The sequence below is a fragment of the Homo sapiens genome, chromosome 22 (genome assembly GCF_000001405.40).
Source record: "Homo sapiens chromosome 22, GRCh38.p14 Primary Assembly".
NCBI classification, from domain to species: domain Eukaryota; kingdom Metazoa; phylum Chordata; class Mammalia; order Primates; family Hominidae; genus Homo; species Homo sapiens.
Window position 1 is genome coordinate 37,251,426 of NC_000022.11, and position 18,846 is coordinate 37,270,271.

The 18,846-nt window shown below is 47.1% G+C and overlaps 1 long non-coding RNA gene across 2 annotated transcripts, besides 4 other annotated features; it reads right to left on the bottom strand.

Annotated features, from left to right (window-relative positions):
- Positions 1,882 to 2,383: an enhancer, noted in NCBI's record as "H3K4me1 hESC enhancer chr22:37649347-37649848 (GRCh37/hg19 assembly coordinates)". NCBI's record gives its function as "activates a minimal SCP1, AML or CMV promoter by ChIP-STARR-seq in primed H9 embryonic stem cells {active_cell/tissue: H9 hESC(primed)}" and the evidence as "EXISTENCE:reporter gene assay evidence [ECO:0000049][PMID:30033119]".
- Positions 8,047 to 14,399, bottom strand: LOC107985576 (uncharacterized). 2 transcript variants are annotated; one of them, XR_001755534.1, is made up of 3 exons: positions 13,379 to 14,132; positions 12,435 to 12,530; positions 8,047 to 8,291 (listed from the first exon to the last, which is right to left on the bottom strand). It is a non-coding gene; the product is annotated as an uncharacterized LOC107985576 (long non-coding RNA). The 2 variants fall into 2 exon arrangements; XR_007068093.1 differs by lacking the exon at positions 8,047 to 8,291 and adding an exon at positions 10,656 to 12,348 and having other exon boundaries at positions 12,435 to 14,399.
- Positions 9,176 to 9,715: an enhancer, noted in NCBI's record as "H3K4me1 hESC enhancer chr22:37656641-37657180 (GRCh37/hg19 assembly coordinates)". NCBI's record gives its function as "activates a minimal SCP1, AML or CMV promoter by ChIP-STARR-seq in primed H9 embryonic stem cells {active_cell/tissue: H9 hESC(primed)}" and the evidence as "EXISTENCE:reporter gene assay evidence [ECO:0000049][PMID:30033119]".
- Positions 15,853 to 15,912: an enhancer, noted in NCBI's record as "active region_18960". NCBI's record gives its function as "activates an Ori minimal core promoter by ATAC-STARR-seq in GM12878 lymphoblastoid cells {active_cell/tissue: GM12878}" and the evidence as "EXISTENCE:reporter gene assay evidence [ECO:0000049][PMID:35858748]".
- Positions 15,933 to 16,122: an enhancer, noted in NCBI's record as "active region_18961". NCBI's record gives its function as "activates an Ori minimal core promoter by ATAC-STARR-seq in GM12878 lymphoblastoid cells {active_cell/tissue: GM12878}" and the evidence as "EXISTENCE:reporter gene assay evidence [ECO:0000049][PMID:35858748]".

Genomic DNA, 18,846 nt, shown 5'->3' on the forward strand with positions numbered 1-18,846 from the left:
CTAAGAAAAAGAGGTTGAACTGGCTCACAGTATCACAGGCCGCACAGGAAGCATGGTGGCATCTGCTTCTGGGGGGGCCTCGTGGTGGAAGGCAAAGTGGAAACAGACATCTTCCATGGCAAGAACAGGACCAAGGGGGTGAGAGGTGCCACACACTTTCAAACAACCAGATCTCACAAAAACTCACTCACTATACAGTACCCAAGAAGGATGGTGCTAAACCATTCATGCAAACTCCGCCCCCATGATCCAATCACCTCCCACCAGGCCCTACTTCCACTGTTGGGGATTACAATTTGACATGAGATTTAGATGGGGACACAGATCCAAATCATATCACATGTCAAGAGTCTATAAGTGCATGAGTCTTTTCCTAGCCTCTCCATCTATTGGACTCTTGGTCCACCCTCAAGCCGGTAAAACACTGCCTCAATTACTGCAGTTCTTTTTTTTTTTTTTTTTTGAGACGGAGTTTCACTCCTGTTGCCCAGACTGGAGTGCGACGGCACCATCTCGGCTCACTGCATCCTCCACCTCCCAGGTTCAAGTGATTCTCCTGCCTCAGCATCCAAATAGCTGAGATTACAGGCGCCTGCCACCACATGTAGCTAATTTTGTATTTTTAGTAGAGACAGGGTTTCACATGTTGGCCAAGCTGGTCTTGAACTCCTGACCTCAGGTGATCTGCCCGCCTTGACCTCCCAAAGTGCTGGTATGACTTACAGGCGTGAGCCACTGCACCCAGCCAACTACTGAAGTTCTATATCAGATCTTTATACCCAGCAGAGCAAATCATCCACTCTTGAATGTTTTCAAAATTGTTATCGTTACCACTGACACTTTGCTCTTTCATATAAAGTTCATAATAAGCTTGTCAAGTTCCAAGAAAAACTGTGTGAGGATTCTGATTAGAATTGTATTCAATTTCTAGAGGAACTTGGGGAGAAGTGACATCTTTATATATTGAGTCTTCCTGTCCATTAACATGGTATATTGCTTCTTTATATCTTTCAATTAAGTTTTATAATTTCCCCCCGGAAAGGTCATGCACATTTTTTGAAAGATTCATTCCTTGATACCTTATTACTTTCAGTGCCATTATAACTAATATTTTTTAAATTGAATTTTCTATTTGTTGCCCATACGTAGGGAAAATGTCACATTTTGTATATTGAACTTATATAGAAACCTGGATGGAAATTCTCATTCTAATTTATGTAAAGATTTTGCTCCTAACAAGTCTACAGCTGTCTTTATAGACAGTCTTATCATTTATGAAAAGTGACAGTTTTATTTCTTCCTTCCCAATTTTTATAACGTTAATTCCTTGGCTTGTCTAGATCTTTTATTACAGGGCTGAAGGGAATCAGTGCTGGCAGGCAACCTTGTCTTATTTCTGATTTTAAAGAGACTGTTTCTAATGTTTCACCATTGAACCTGATGTCTACTGCAGGCTTTTGGTGGATATTATTGTCACTGAAAGAAGTTTCCCTACTATTCTTAGAAACGGCAGTTTTGTTTTATCATTATTAAGCGTTTAATTTGATTGAATGTCTTTTTCTGTACCCATGGAAATGTTGTGAATTATATTAATACATTTTCTGATGTCCAATTCTCCTTGCATTCCCAGATAAGTCTAATTTAGTTAATATGGGGACTATTGCTGAGTATCCCTAAGCAACCGTTCTCTGCTTCTTTTTAATAACAGAGATCCCAGCATTGGGGCTAGCCACACATTCACCCAGCTAAAGACATTTCTCAGTCTCCCTTGCAGCAGAGTGGGCCCTATGATCATGTCTGGGGGAAAAAGGTGCAAATGGAAGTGATGTCAGCAACTTCTGCATCATCTCCTTGGAAGCTAAACCATTTATCCTGTACAGCATTTTCCCCTCTCCCCACGGAGTAGGAAATAAAAACGCCAGAACAATCCTGGAACCATGTGGGGGCAACATAGAGCCAGACCACTCAGCTCGAGACCTGAGAGAGAAATACACTTTTGCTTCTTTAAGCCACTGCGTTTTCAGATCTTTTTGTTACAGCAGCTTCAGTCACACCCTCACTCAGTCAGTCATGATGCATCGCCTTTTGTGTATTGCTGGCTTGAAATTGCCAATATTTACAGGTAGGGTGGGGAGATCGGCCGGTCATTTTCCTTATATTGTCTTTGTCTTTTTTTGTTGTTGTTGTTATCAAGGTTATACTAGTTTCATTATGAGAGTTGGTAATATTATGTTTTGTTTTTTTTTTTGAGATGGAGTCTTGCTTTGTCACCCAGGTGGAGTGCAGTGGCACGATCTCGGCTCACTGCAACCTCCACCTCCCAGGTTCACACCATTCTCCATTCTCCTGCCCCAGTCTCCCGAGTTGCTGGGATTACAGGCGCCCACCACCACGCCTGGCTAATTTTTTGTATTTTTAGTAGAGACAGGGTTTCACCGTGTTAGCCAGGATGGTCTCGATCTCCTGACCTCGTGATCTGCCCGCCTCGGCCTCCCAAAGTGCTGGGATTACAGGCGTGAGCCACCGCGCCCAGCCAGTTTGGATAATATTACATTATCTCTCCCTTAAATATTTTATAAAATTTATAAAGCCATCTGTATCTGGACCTGGTTTCAGAATTATGGGGGAGAGGGGGAAGAGGGGTAGATTTTAAACTACTAATTCAATTTCTTTAAGGGGTATAGGACTATTTGGAATTCCTTTTTTTTTTTTTTTTTTTTGAGACAGAGTCTTACTCTGTCACCTAGGCTGGAGTGCAGTGGTGTGATCTCAGCTCTCTGCCACCTCCACCTCCTGGGTTCCAGTGATTCTCATGCCTCAGCCTCGCAAGTAGCTGGGACTACAGGCAGGCACCACTAGGCCCGGCTAATTTTTTATTTTTAGTAGAGATGAGGTTTCACCATATTGGTCAAGATGGTCTCCTGAGCTCAAGCAATCTGCCCACCTTGACCTCCCAAAGTGCTGGGATTATAGGCATGAACCACCGCGCCCGGCCACTATTACTTCTTGAGTCATGCTTTAGATATTTTTCTGGAAAGTTGCCCATTTTGCTTGGGTTTTCAAATTCATTAGTGTAAAGCTATTCATAGTATTATTTTATATCTTTTGAATCTCTCCTCTCTAATTTCTGTTATCTCCCTTTTTTTATCCTATATTGATTATTTATGCCTTCAAACTTTGTTCTTAATCAATTGCTCCCCAGTTTCATTAATTTTACTCACCTTTTCAAAGAGCCAAATTTTGGTCTTGTTAATCCTTTCTACTATACATTTGTTTCCCATTTAATTAATTTCTATTCTTATCTTTATTGTTTCTTTTCTTTCTTTTGCTTTGTTCTGATGTTCTTACTTTACTTCTTAGTTTTGAATGCTTAGTTCATGAATTTTTAGTCTTATTTTGTTCCTAATACAAGTTCTTAAGGCAATACTACTTTAGCATTGCTTTTAATTGTGGTAAAATAGACATAACATAAAATTTACCACAACCCACAGTTTTAATATGTAATATTTTATTATGTTTTAGTTCTAAACATTTTTCAACTTTCATTACGATTTCCGTTCTGCTCAATGAGTCATTTGAAAGTGCATTGTTAATTTCCAAGAGTTGGGGAAAGAGGCTGTTATCTTGTTCTCTTACCTCGTGATACTGCAGACAAAGAATACAGACGGTGTCACACTGACTCCTTTTAATGTGTTGAGACTTGCTCTATGACCTACTGTGAGTGTTATTTTCATAAATGTGTATATATTCAGTGTTCCCTATGTGTCTAATAAATCAAAGGTGTTCATTGCATTGTTTAGATCTTTCGTATCATTACAAATAAATTTATATTTACCTTGCTTATATTTATCAGCTCTTGAGAAAAGTATGTTAAATCTCCCACTATGGTGGTGAATTTGTCAATTCTACTTGTAATTCTGTCACTTTTTATTTTTGTTTTTAAACCCTTAGGTTATGTCATCAAATGCATGCAACTTTAGAATTATCAGATCATGCTAAAATTTTTAATCTTATTGAAATAGCAGCCAACATTTTAAAAATCTTTACTATATTCCAAGATCTGACACAGACCTAGCACTCAGTAAAATGTGGTAGAAATAAGAAAAAGAAAGAAAGAGAGAGAGAGAATGAATGAAAAGAGAGAAGAAAGAAAAGAGGAAGAAGAAAGAAAGAAAGAAAGGGAGGGAGGGAAGGAAAGAAAGAAAGAAAAAGAGACAGAAAGAAAGAAGGAAGAAAGGAGGGAAGGAAGGATGAGAGAGAGAGAAAGAAAAAGAGAGAAAGAAAGAGAGAGAGAAAGAAAAAGAGAAAGAGAGAAGGAAGAAAGGAGGGAAGGAAGGATGAGAGAGAGAGAAAGAAAAGGGAGGGAGGGAAGGAAGGAAGGGAGGAAAGTAGAGTGAGAGAGAAAGAGAAAGAAAGAGAGAGAGAGAAAGACAGAAAGAAAAAAGAAAGAAAGAAAAGAGAGGAAGGGAGGGAAGGAAGAAAGGAGGGAGGGAGGGAGACAGAGAGAGAGAAAGAAAGAGAGAGAGAGAAAGAGAGAGAGAGAGAAAGAAAGAAAACATTGAGGGGATGCCTAGGGTGTCCCTGGCTGGCACCCTGGAGTCAGAGCTGGGGAACATTTGCGTCCAGGTCCACTCTGCCTTGGGGGTCATCCTGTGTTCAGTGTCACAAGCAAGAGAGGTGACAGGGAGGGCTGGCAGCTCTGGGCAGTCCCCAGGTGCTGGAGTTGAGTCCCCAGCCTGACAGGGTTTTCCCAGAGTGGCTCTGAGGTCAAATTCCGAGGAGCTGATGGAACTCCCACTGACTGCCCCCCACCCGATCCCCAAACCCAGCTCCCTGGGCTGACCGCCCTGGGCCACTCTTCAGTTCCAGTCACCTCCCTACCTCTAGGAGAGGATTTTCTCTTCGAAGATCCCCCATGAAGAATGCGGGTCCCTCTCTCCATCAGGGACTTTCCTGATGAGAAAACCAGCATTCTGCCCCCAGAGCCAGGCTCTGTGCCCCAGACACACCCAGATACCAAACAGAACCAAGCTCCCACTGCCCCACACCTCAGGTCCCAGGAGGCCCTCCCAGCGGGCCCCACAGGCCACTCTCTAACTGACGGGCTGATGAGAGCTGCCCCTCCCATCCTTGAGCAGGTACACACCCCCCACCCCTGCTTCCTACACCTGCGCCTCAGGCCTCGGTCTCAGTCCCTTCTCTGTACACCCTCTGAGGTCGCTTCAGTCAGGCTAGTTCCCAGATCTCTCTCCACTGCCTACTGGAGATGCCTCCTACCCCCACCCAGGACACCCCATTGCCCTCTTGAATCCAGCAGTCTCTTCTATCCCAGTACAACACAATCATCCCAGCCCCCTAAACTGGGACCTAGACCACAAATATTTTTAAAGTTTTTTTGTTACATTTTAATATTTTCATACTACTTTTGAATGGGTAATGCATCCCCATGGTCCAAAATACAGAAGGCACAGGTCCACCTTGCAGCCCATCTGCCCAGCACTCAATTCCCCTTCCAGAGGCCACCTCTGTCACTGACGTATCTATGTCCCTCCAGAGATGTTCCAGTGGAAGAAAGCATTCTCCACTTCCTGTCTCTCATCCCAATCTGTCCTGCACCTTGTTGGTTTCCATTAACTATTTACCTTGAAGTTTGTCCCACATTCGTTGACGAAGAGCTTCCTCTATATGGACAGAATTCCATTGTGCAGACTTGCTAGAATTAATTTGATTAGTTCCTGTTGAAGGAAGGATAGGATTCCCCGCCTTTTGCTACCACGAGAAAGCTGCCATGAATAACAGCGCACACGTGCCATTTCGCCCAGATGCAAGTATCTGAAGGCAGCCTTCCCCAACAGGGGTTTGCTGGGTGACAGAATGGGTGCATCGGTGTCAAATGGCCCTCCACCAGGGTTGTATCTATCCATCCTCCCACCGGCGGTGTGTGGGAAAACTGGCTTCCCCACCAATACGGCGTTTCAGGCAATGTTCTTATTTATGACACCCCAGTAAGCAATAAATGACATTGCACCGGAGTTTTGATTTGCATTTCTTTTCCATAGGATAGGCATCTTTTTGGAGGGTTAAAAGCCATTGTGGCCAGGCACGGTGGCTCATGCCTGTAATCCCAGCACTTTGGATCGCTTGAGACCAGGAGTTCAAGACTTGGCTGGCCAACATGGAGAAACCCCATCTCGATTAAAAATACAAAAATTAGCCAGGCATGGTAGTAGGCGCCTGTAATCCTGGCTACTTGGGAGGCTGAGGGAGGAGAATCGCTTGAACCCAGGAGGTGGAGGTTGCAGTGAGCCGAGATCATGCAACGACGTTCCAGCCTGGGCAACAGAGAGAAACTCCACCTCAAAAAAAAAAAAAAAAAAAAAAAACCATTTGTATTTTCTTTTCCTGTAAACTGTGCCTTCATACCTTTTGCCTACTTTCTTATTCGGTGTTGGTCTTTTTGATTGATTTCCATGTTAGGGGGACTCACTTCTGGTCCATCACACAAGTTACAGCCATATGTTCCCAGGTGGCCACTGGCACTTTGGCTTAACTGATGGTGACTTGAGCCACGTGGACTTCTGCATATTTAAATAGTTTGGTTAATCAATCTTCTCTTTTATGGCTTCTGGGTTCTTTGTGATTTTTAGAAAGGTCTTTGCCATTCTGAAATTATATTTTTCAAACAGTTTACTATAGTTTCTTCTTATAGTTTTGTGGTTTCATTTGTTACACTGAATTATTTGACATGACTCATTATCCCATTGCACAGTGTAAGGTAGACTCAACTTTATAGTTTTACAGATGGCTACTGTAAACTAAAAATACAATTATAAGCCCTCCAACTGACTAAACAAACCACTTCTTGGCCAAAGGGACCTCAGAAAAACTTTTATTTTTATTTATTTATTTATTGAGACAGAGTCTCGCCCTGTCGCCCAGGCTGCAGTGCAGTGGCACTATCTCGGCTCACTGTAACCTCTGACTCCCATGTTCAAACCATTCTCCTGCCTCAGCCTCCTGAGTAGCTGGGATTACAGGCACCCACCACCACCACGCCCAGCTAATGTTTGCATTTTAGTAGAGACAGGGTTTCACCATGTTGGCTAGGCTGGTCTCGGACTTGTGACCTCAAGTGCTCCCCCTGCCTCTGCCTCCCAAATTGCTGGAATTACAAGCGTGAGCCACTGCACCTGGCCCAGAAAAACTTTTAAAACTGAGATCCCAACCGTGATGGAAGGGGAGGTCAGACACGCCTCATTATACACCTCCCTTTCGCAGTTGAGACACAACTGACCAGCAGTAATGTTAAAACAGAACCATAAATTAAAAAAAAAAAAAAGAACCATAATATGGACAGAACAGACTTTGTGGCAACACAATACCAAATTACAACCAGGACCTCAGGCCCTGCCAGGTGAGGGTGAGGTCACACACCCCACACTTAAACCGTGAACTCTGTCCTGCCTGCCACAAGGTGTTTCTTTTGCTCTGGCAGCTAAACAAGCCGCTGCCTCGAGATAAGCCAGATGAAATCAATCACAGCTCATCCAGGGCCCCTACGCTGAGCAACTGAGCCCCTGCTCCAGGCCCTAATTCCAGCCTTCATTAGAGAAGAGACTGATTTCAGTAGCTTTCTCCAGATCAGAAGACCACGGACCACGGACCAGTTCTGGCCGGTTTGCAGAAGCTCCGCGCCCGTGTTCCGAAGACCTTTAGCGGTATAGGGCCTAAGTGTAATGCATTTACATGTTAAGTCTCCACCCCAAAGTGAACATGGGTAGTATATCACATGCATGTTCTTTCAATATGCATCCGTCAGGGCCACCTTCATGAATATGCATAGCTCCTCCTGTAGCCTGTTGAATATGTATGTTTAGCCAACGCCTTTAGCATAAAGCTGCTACCCCAACCCCTCCTCTTTTGAAGTGCCTGTCTCTGGCCTCTGCCACATGCCATGTGCAGGATGGCCACCTTGCAGGCTGTAACTCTTTAAAGAAATAAAATCTCCTTTCTAAATATATAAATTGTGTGATTTTTTTTCCCAGTTAACAGTACCCATTGACCAACACAATTTACCCTGAACGTATATTCCTCCAGCGAGGCTCATACAAAACCTGGACGTGGATTTAAAACTAGTTCCCGGCAGGGCGGTGTTCTTGGTGCTTTTCCTCTCGGCCGCAGCTTCTGCCGCCCTCAGGGCCCCGTGGCTCCTCTCTCCGAAATATTTCATGAATCCGCCTCCTTCTCTCGCTCTCCACCTTGAGCTTCAGTTGAGAACTCCGCGTTTCTCCCTGGGAATGTAGAGATGCGTTAGTGCCGGGAGAGGGCGTTGCGAGATTTCCAGATTGCGCGTGGCATCCTGTCTTCCCCGTCGCTCTGGGACAAAGCCCCCTCCCCTTCCTACCCAACCAAATCCTCTTCCTACTGGACCTTGGGGTGCCCCCTCTAGGCCCTCAGCAGTCACCACTCACCCCCTCCCTTTCTTAGCCCAGTCCCAACCTTATCGTGGAAGGGTAGGAACAGAGTCCCAGCCCAGCCTGCCTGTCCACCTTCAGGCACCAAACACCCTGAGGTCTGCACCAGCCGTTGCTCTAGCCCAGCGGTCCCCAACCTTTTAGGCACTAGGGACTGGCTTCGTGGAAGACAATTTTTCCACGGATTTGGGGGGATGCTTTTGGGATGATGCAAACACATTTATTGTGCACTTTATTTCTATTATTAATTGTAATACATAATGAAATAATTACACAACTCACCATCATGTAGAATCAGTAGGACCCCTGAGCTTGTTTTCCTGCAACTAGACGGTCCCATCCGGGAGTGATGGGAGACAGTGACAGATCATCATCAGGCATTAGATTCTCATAAGGAGCCTGCAACCCAAATCCCTCGTATGCGCAGTTCACAACGGGGTTCATGCTCCCATGAGAATCTTATGCCACGGCTGATCTGACAGGAGACAGAGCTCAGGCAGTAATGCGAGCAACGAGGAGCAGCTGTAAATACAGATGAAGCTTCTCTGGGGACCCCTACGCTAGTCCACAGAGGCGGGAGAAGTGGAGCGGCTTCTCCTCTCCAAACAATGCACCCCTCCATCCCCATCTCATCTCCTCCCATGGGCAGGTCTTGGGCAAGGCTTCATTCTCACTAGAAAAATCACCCTCCCTCCCCCATGGCCTTCCGGCTCCTGCCTTTCTCCTGGAGCCCTGGACCCGGGTGTCCATCCTCCAGCTCTGGGTGGTCCAGGGGCTTCTGATGCTGGGCATCTGGACATGGAGGTTGTGGGGAAAGGTTCCTTGAATAGTCGGGGAGAAGGGTGGAGAAGATCGGCCCTTGCCAGCAAGTCCTCTGTCAGGCCAGCATCCCATGGTTAACAAGCTCGTTCTGGGTCCATTTCTCTGGGTAAATGGCAGTGTACAAATAGAAGTCCCTGCCCCCAGAGAGCTCACATTCCAGGTGGGAGACAGACAATAAACAAGCTAGCAACAAATACAATCACAGTGGCAGGTGGTGAAAGCGCCATGAAAAAATGACCAAGGAGCCTTCGCTCACACACTGGATTTCTTCTGGGCGCGAGCAGAAAAACCGGCGAATCCTGATCAAGAAGGCACCCTCTGGTGGCCATATGAGGAATAGGCCACAGTGACACCAGGGCGGACGCTGAGAGACCCGGTGGGGCCATGGCAGTGTCCAGGCAAGGGGACGGAGGCTTGGGCCAGGGAGGTGATGGTGGGAAGTGTAAGAAGTGGCTGGACGGAGAGTTGGTATTGTAGAGGCTTTAGGACTTGCTGAGGGAGTCAAGAATGATGTTGGGTTTCATTCTTAGCACCTTGGCGGATGGAGGCACCATTTAACTAGGAGGGGGTGGCCGCGGGAGGAGTGGGCTTAGAGCATCCAGGAATCAAGCTTCTGTCCTGGACATTTTGGGTGAGAAGCCTGTTGAACATGAAGCTGTTGAGTGTTTGGATAGAATATTCTGGAAAAGGGGAAGGGTCCAGGCTGGAGGCATAAGCGTGGAGTTGTCCCAACGTAGATGGCATTTGCTATTGACCGAGTGTTTACATCCCTGAGAACGTATATATTGAATTCATATGTTGAAAACTAATTCCAGCGTGATGGCATTTGAAGGAGAAGCCTTTGGGAGATGATTAGGTCATTAGGGAAGGGCCCTCGTAAGTGGGCTTGTCACCTTTATAATACAGGCCCTGAGAGCTAACTAGCCCCCTCCACCACGTGAGGATACAGTGACGAGTTCACCATCTATGAACCAGAAAGCAGGTCTCACCGGACATTGAATCTGCTGGCACCGTGGTCTTGGACTTCCCATGCTCCAGAACTCTGAGAAATGAGTTTCTGGGGTTGTTGTTTTGTTTTGTTTTTTGAGACATGGTCTCACTCTGTCGCCCAGGCTAGAGTGCAGTGGTGAGATCTCAGCTTCGTAGTATATTTTGAAATCAGGTAGGGTGATGCCTCTGGCTTTGTTCTTTTTGTTCTAGATTGCTTTGGCTACTCAGGGCCTTTTGTAGTTCCATACAACGTTTAGGGTTTTTTTTTTTTTTTTTCTGTGAAAAATGACGTTGGGATTTTGATAGGGATTGCACTGAATCTGTAGCTCTTTGGGTGCTATGGACATTTTAACAATACTGATTCTTCCATTTCATGAACACAAGATATCATTCCGTTTATTTGTGTTTTCTTCCATTTCTTTTAGGACTCCAGAGACTAAGTCAGTATTTAAAGCAGCAGGAGGCCACCCAGGGAAGGAATGCAGCTCAAGACCCCATCCACCCAGCAGCAGCAGATGGTGGTGGGAGAAAGTCTAGGGGGCAAACTCCACTTTCAGCCTCAGCAAGGACCCTCACTGAATGCTAGGGGGCTCTCTCTCACCCCTACTCCCCACTTCCCACCAACCCCATTCTCAAACACCAACTTCTTCTTCCAGAGGTGACCTCAGTCTCCACTCTACTCAAGCCCATCTCAAGATGACTGTGCCCTCTTCCTCCAACTTTCTACCTCTCCCACTCACGAGCTCTGGGGTCAGGCTGTGTCTCCACCCGCCTCCTCTGCTATCTGGCCGTGTGTCCCCAGTGAGTGGCTTCACCTCTGCAAACTGCTCTCCCATTGCTGATGGGGGCACCTCCCTCTCTGGATAGCCATGAGCACGGGGTGCAAGTATGTGTGTCATGTACCTAGAAGGAAACTGGCACGTAGCAGACTCTGGATAAATGTCAGCATGAGTGTGATGGGGCTGGCTTTCTCCTTTTTATCTTGTATTCCTCTCCCCACTTCTAGGGTGTCACTCTGCTCTTTCTCCAATGTCCTCAGCCTCGTTCTACTGTCTCCCTCATCTCACATCCGGTCTCTCCCATCTTACAAAGAAGCAGCCCAGGGGTTTTGTCTTCGAGACCCCTCCGGCTGCCATCCACCGACCCTACCTCCCCTCCCCTGCCCTCGCCTCCAGGAAACACCCACTGCACCCTGGTTTCCTCCATGGTCAGTGAGAGTGAGATTGGACACCATTATTGGCACACAAAGATGGGGAATCTGGAGACTGGGCCGAGGAGGGCTGGGGACCAGGGACCCCAGAGAACCAAAACCTGGGAAGCTAAATCTCCATCCTCTTCCACAGCAGTGTCCTCCTGGTGTTTGACCCACTTCTGTGGATTACAGCGTGTTTTTAGGGGAACTGCAGACTGAATTGTGTTCCCCTAAAATTCATATGTTGAAGCCCCAGTAACTCCACATGTGACTGTATTTGGAGACAAGGTCTTAAAAGACGTGATTCATCCCAGCACTTTGGGAGGCCAAGGTGGGTGGATCACGAAGTCAGGAATTCAAGAACAACCTGGCCAATATGGTGAAACCCCGTCTCTATTAACAATACGAAAATTAGACAGGCATGGTGGTGCATGCCTATAATTCCAGCTACTCAGGAGGCTGAGGCAGGAGAATTGTTTGAATCCAGGAGGCAGAGACTACAGTGAGCCCAGATCGTGCCATTGCACTCCAGCCTGGGAGACAGAGCGAGACTCTGTCTCAAAAAAAAAAAAAAAAAAAAAAGAAGAAGAAGAAAAAAGAGGTGATTCAGGTAGAGTGAGGTCATGAGAGTGGACCCTCACCCAATATGCCTGGTGTGCATATAAGAAGAGGAGATTAGGACACAGACACGCACAGAGGGAAGCCCATGTGGGGACACAGGGAGAAGACGGCCACCATTAGCCAAGGGGAGCCCTCAGAAGAAACAACCCTGCTGACACCTTGATCTTGGACTTCCAGACTCCAGAACTGTGAAAAAGTACATTCCTGTTGTTGAAGCCTCCCGATCTGTGGTCCTTTGACATGGCAGCCCTGGAGAATTAATACAGGTGCTAACGGCTCCCACAATGGATGGCCCTACACCACCACTCCAGTGAAAATGCTCCCTTGAGGCTCACCTACGTATGACGTCCAGGTTTCTAAATCCAACGGTCACTTCTTGGTCCTTGTATCAGTCATGTTTCAGTGTAAGGACTAGAAGCCACATTAGGTATCTTAAGCAGAAAGAGATTGAACATAGGAAATTCAGCACCTACAACATCATAAGATGTACTCAGGGAGCGTGCTCCAGGGCCAGTTTCCAGAAATGACTCCCAGGACACCACAGAACTGACCAAGAGGGGCTGCCACCGAGGCCACAGCCAGGAAGGTGAGGAGTCAGGGGCCACCTCTAAACCCCCCACTGTGGCTGCCACCCAGGGGTTAGGATGCTACCACCACTGCTGTACCCGAATCTTGAGCCTCAGGAAGTCAGAGTCCAGATACTACGACACAGGGTCCAGCACTGCGTCCTCTGCTGCAACTGCTTATTGACACCCACAAGGTCACTTGCCAGCAATGACTGCCAAGAGCAGCAAGAAGACAGCTGCTTTCCAAATCTCATGGGAGCAAATCCCATTGGTAGGATCTAATTCACATCCAGAATCATAGCTGCAAGGGATCCGGGAGGAAGGGTGGCTTTAGCTTGCTAGCCTCTGCAGTATAGGAGGGTGAGGCGGGGTAGAATGGAAGGTGAGTGAGTCGACCTGGGCCCTAGCCCACTCCTACCCTGCCTCTCTGCATCACTTGGCTAGGGCCACTCCCTCCCCTTTTCAATATTTTTCCAGTTGTCTCCTTGCACTGGTTTGGGCTCCTCTGTCTCACTCCATGTGTCAGCACACTCATACTCCACTGCAGACAAGCAGCAGGGCTTGCTCGGGCAGGGCTTTGTTGATCTCACTCAGCAGGGTGTCAGGAGGCAGCCTGGGACTGGAGCTGCAGCCCAGCAGTGCCATCAGAAACCTGGGCCCTTCTGTGTTTTGGTCCCATCACCCTCAGCACTTGCTCTGCCCCTCATGCTTACCGTTGAGAGCTGCAAGTTGGCTGCACCTGCCAGCCTCACACCCACTTTCCAAGCAGCAGGGAAGGGGGCCAAACACTGCCTTCTCCTCATGAGAATTTCCTTTTATTCAGGAAGGGCCACCCTCTCCAGGGACCCTGGTTGGCCAGAAAGGTCACATGGCCATCCTTGGCTGCAAAGGAGGCTGGGAAATAACAATTTAGGTTTCAGACTCTGTAGTTAGTAGAGGAAGGAGAGCTGGAGAGGGATTGAGAATAGCTGTTGAGTGAGCCTACTTTTTAATATTTGTCATAGCCATAAAGGGAATTAGCTGGCTCACGTAACCAAGTTGTCTGGGCTTCCAGCATTGATGATGCAGAGGCCCATATGATACCATCCAGCCTCAATAGCTGTTGTTGCACATCTCCCCACTCACCTTCCTCTGCTGTGGCTTCATTCTTAGGATCCTTCTGGTACTTAGAACTCCAGATTCACATCATCTTCCCAGCTGGACATCACAACTGGAAAGGAGTTTTCTTTGTCTAGTTGTTCCAGCAAAAGTCCCAGGACTGAATCTCACTGGACTTACTCAGGTCACCAAACCACTCTTGAACGAGTTGCCATAGCCAGGCAATGGAATACCAGCTGGACCTCTGTTCCATGGGTCACGTGAGTCCTGGGCCCAAGCCCAGGTACTAAGAAAGGAATAAACTCCCCCGCTCAATGGAAAGAGGAGCACAGAATTTGCAGCCATCGGCTGGGCACAGTGGCTCAGCACTTTGGGAGGCCAAGGCGGGCGGATCACTTGAGGTCAGGAGTTTGAAACCAGCCTGGCCAACACGGTGAAACCCTGTCTCTACTAAAAATACAAAAAATTAGCCAGGCATGGTGGCACATGCCTGTAGTCTTACCTACTTGGGAGGCTGAGGCAGGAGAATGGCTTGAACCCGGGAGGTGGAGGTTGCAGTGAGCCGAGATCATGCCATTGCATTCCAGCCTGGGCGGCAGAGCGAGACTCCATCTCAAAAAAAAAAAAAAAAAAGAATTTGCAGCCATCATTAACCTACTGCCCACTAAGCTGGCTCAGCCCCCTGTAGAAACAGCACCATCACCCGCCAGTCTCCCAGGCTGGAAACCTCAAAGTCATCCTTCACTCTGCTCACCTTCACCCTCGATTTTTCACCAGGACCAGTCAGTTTCAGTATCTAATTACCTCTCACAAAGGTCCCTCACACCCCAGATCCTCTGTACCCCCAACCATCAGCACCCCTGGCCTGGGCCTTTGTAACAGCCTCCTAAGAGGCCTGTCTGCATTTAATCTGTCCATCAAGTCCTTCCTTCACATGACAGCCAGAGTGACCTTTCTAAACTGCAAATCAGGGCTCACCTTGGTTCCCGGTTCTCAGGTCTCCACCATCTGGCATGTGACCCAGAGGGAGTGAGGACACCTCTCCAAGGCTCAGCCTCACTCATAGGCAAGGCAGGCTCATAACAGAATCTCAAAGGGTTGTACTGAGGAGCACTTGGGACAAGGCATCTGGCACAAGAGACATTTCCCACCAAGGAGGGTTTCTTTCTTACCTATTGCCAATCTGAAAAAAATAAGAAGAGTAAATGGTGTTCTGGCATTCAGAGCCTCTCACCACCTGGCTCCCATTTCTCTTTTTTTTTTTTTTTTTGAGACAGAGTCTTACTCTGTGGCCCAGGCTGGAGTGCAGTGGTGAGATGTCAGCTCACTGCAACGTCCACCTCCCAGGTTCAAGCGATTCTCCTGCCTCAACCTCCCAAGTAGCTGAGATTACAGGCATGTGCCACCACACCCGACTAATTTTTGTATTTTTAGTAAGGACTAGGTTTCACCATGTTGGCCAGGCTGGTCTCAAACTCTTGACCTCAGATGATCCGCTGGCCTCGGCCTCTCAAAGCGCTGGGATTACAGGCGTGGGCACCTGGCCCATTTCTCCTTTGAGGTTCATCCCCCCTGCTTCCCGCTAAAGCCACACGCATACACTCACTCAGCGTTAAGTGCGTGCTCCTGCCCACCAGTGTACACAGAGGTCGCCCAGTCTCCACCTCTGTGGCTTGCACATGCTGTCCCCACCACCCGGTGCCCTTCCCTCTTCCAAGCCAGCTCTCCTAACCCAACCCCTACACCTGACAACCCCTTCCCCAGTTCTCCCCATGTGGAATCCATCCTTACCACTCCCGTTCATACTGTTTCAAGAACTCGTTACGTGTCAGCGGAATCATCCTGGATTGGATTGCCTCCCCCATGTGACGGGCTCCTAGGGGTCCAGCCCTGTTCCCGGCCAGAATCCAGCCCCACGGATACCTGGGTATTGGGGCTGAAGGACCCTCAGAGGTCCCCTCGTTCACAGGGGAGCCCCAGGCGGTGGGTTCTCTGAGTGCCATCCCCGCGGCGACCACGCAGGGGAGCCCGCGGGCTGGCTTTGGTCACCTAGGAAACCGACGAGGGGTGGGGCAAGGAGGGCCAGACCCCTGCCCCGACTCTGGTCTGGCTCCTCCTGTGGGCCTCGGCTCTGGAGAGCTGAGAGACCCCAGGCCCACTTCCCTCGGCCACTCGTGGCCGTGCTCTGTGCTGACTGCCTTACATGGATTATTTCATTACATTCTGCAAAACTTCCCTTGTTTGAAAAAATGAAACAAAAACAACCTTCCCTTGAGGGAGGCGTCGTCACTAACCCCGGTTTTTTTGTTTTTGTTTTCTGTTTTTCGTTTTGTTTTTGAGACGGAGTCTCACTCCATCACTCAGACTGGAGTGCAGTGGTGCGATCTCGGCTCACTGCAACCTCCACCTCCCGAGTTCAAGCGATTCTCCTGTCTCAGCCTCCTGAGTAGCTGGGATTACAGGCGCCTGCCACCATGCCCGGCTAATTTTTGTATTTTTAGCAGAGACAGGGTTTCACCTTGTTGGTCAGGCTGGTCTCGAACTCCTGATCTCAGGTGATCCACCCACCTCGGCCTCCCAAAGTGCTGGAATTACAGGCATGAGCCACCGCACCTGGTCACTAACCCTGTTTTACAGAAAAGGAAGCTGAGGCCCAGAGAGGGAAGCTCACTATAGCGGGGCAGCCAGCAGTAACGGGGAGGAGCTGGCCATGTCTGCCCAGCTTGGTGGCCTGATCTCAGGCCTGAGCCCCTCTGTGCGGGTCTCGCACTGGGTGCCTCCCAGAGCTTTCTAGGGTTTTTGGTGGCCTTTTAAAAAACTTTTCTGTAGGGCTTCATTTGTGTTGTTTTAATTGTAGTGAAATATACATAACAGAAAATGTACCATTTTTACCATTTGAAGTGTAAAGTTCAGTGACATTAAGTACATTCACAATGTGCAACTTTTTTAAGGTTGCAAAACTGAAACTCTAGCCCTACCCGGAGCAATTGGGCAAGTGAAAGAAAAAAATGGCATCCAAACTGGAAAGCAGGAAGTAAAATTGTCCCTTTTTGCAGATGACATCATCTTATATTTACAAAAACCCAAACACTCCATTCAAAAATGGTTAGGACTAATAAATTCAGTGAAGTTGCAAGACGCAAAATCAACATACAAAAATCAGAAGTGTTTCTTTACACCGGTAGGAAGCAACTTGAAAAAGAAAAAAGCAATCCCATTTATAATAGCTGCAAAAAAAAAAAAAAAACCACACTTACGAATAATTTTTTTTTTGAGACAGAGTCTCGTTCTGTTGCCCAGGCTGGAGTGCAATGGTGCGATCTCGGCTCACTGCAAGCTCCACCTCCCGGGTTCACGCCATTCTCCTGCCTCAGCCTCCCGAGTAGCTGGGACAGCAGATGCCCGCCATGACACCTGGCTAATTTTTTTTTTTTTTTTTTGTATTTTTAGTAGAGACGGGGTTTCACCGTGTTAGCCAGGATGGTCTCTATCTCCTGACCTCGTGATCCACCCGCCTCGGCTTTCCAAAGTGCTGGGATTACAGGCGTGAGCCACCATGCCCAGCCATGAATAAATTTAACCTAAGAGGGAAAAGATCTCTATGATGAAAATTATAAAACACTGATGAGAGAAACTGAAGAGGACACAAAAACATGGAAAAATAACCCATGTTCATGGATTGGAAGAATTAATATTGTTAAAATGTCCATACCACACAAAGGGATCTACAGATTCAATATAATCTTTACCAAAATATCAATGACATTCATCACAGAAATAGAAAAAAAAAATCCTAAAATCTGTATGCAATCTGTATGGACAAAGCATTCAGGGCCTTTGAGCAAAAGGAAGAAAGCTGGAGGCATCACACTACCTGACTTCAAAACATACCACCAGGCTATAGTAACCAAAACAGCATGGTACTGGCATAAAAGTAGACACATAGGCCAGGTGCAGTGGCTCACAGCTGTATTCCCAGCACTTTGGGAGGCTGAGGCAGGAGTTCACTTGAGGTCAGAGTTCAAGACCAGCCTGGCCAACAAGGTGAAACCCCGTCTCTACTAAAACTACAAAAATTAGCCAACCATGGTGGCTTTTGCCTGTATTCCCAGCTACTTGGGAGGCTGAGGTGGGAGGATCGCTTGAACCCGGGAGGTGGAGATTGCAGTGAGCGGAGATGGCGCTGCTGCACTCCAGCCTGGGCAAGAAGTAAGACTCTGTCTCAGAAAACAAAAACAAAAACAAAAATGGACACATAGACCAATGGAACAGAATAGAAAACCCAGATATAAATCCACGTATTTACAGCCAAATGGTTTTTTACAAAGGCACCAAGAATATACACTGAGGAAAGGACAGTCTCTTCAGTAAGTGGACCAGGAAAATTGGATATCAGCATGCAGAAGAAGGAACCTAGACCCCTGTCTCCCACCACACACAAAAATCAGCTCAAAATGGATTAAAGACATAAATGTAAGACTCGAAACTAGGAAAGTACTAGAAGAAAGCATAGAGAAAATGCCTCAGGACATTGGTCTGGACAAAGTGTTTTTTTTTTTTATAAGACCTCGAAAGCACAGGCAACAAAAGCAAAAATAGACAAATGGGGAATGCAACAAGCCAAAAACATCTGCATGGCAAAGGAAACAATCCACAGAGAGAAGAGGCAACCTATAGAATGGGAGGGAATATTTGCAAACTATCCACCCAACAAAGAATTAATGTCCAGAACACAGAAGGAGCTCAAATAACTCAACAGGAAGAAAAAAAAATACAATTTTTAAATGGGCAAAAGACTTGAATAGACATTTCTCAAAAGAAGACATGCAGATAGCCAACAGATAACATGAAAAACAAATGTTCAACGTTGCCAGTCGTCAGGGAAATACAATAAAACCACAATAAGATATTATCTCACCCCAGTTAAAATTGCTATAATCAAAAAGACAGAACATGGCAAATGCTGGCAAGAATGCAGAGAAAGGGGAACTCGGCCACTGTTGGTGGGGATGTAAATCAGTACAGCTGTTATGGAAAACAGTCCGGAGCTTCCTCAAAAAACTACAACTAGCGCTACCATATG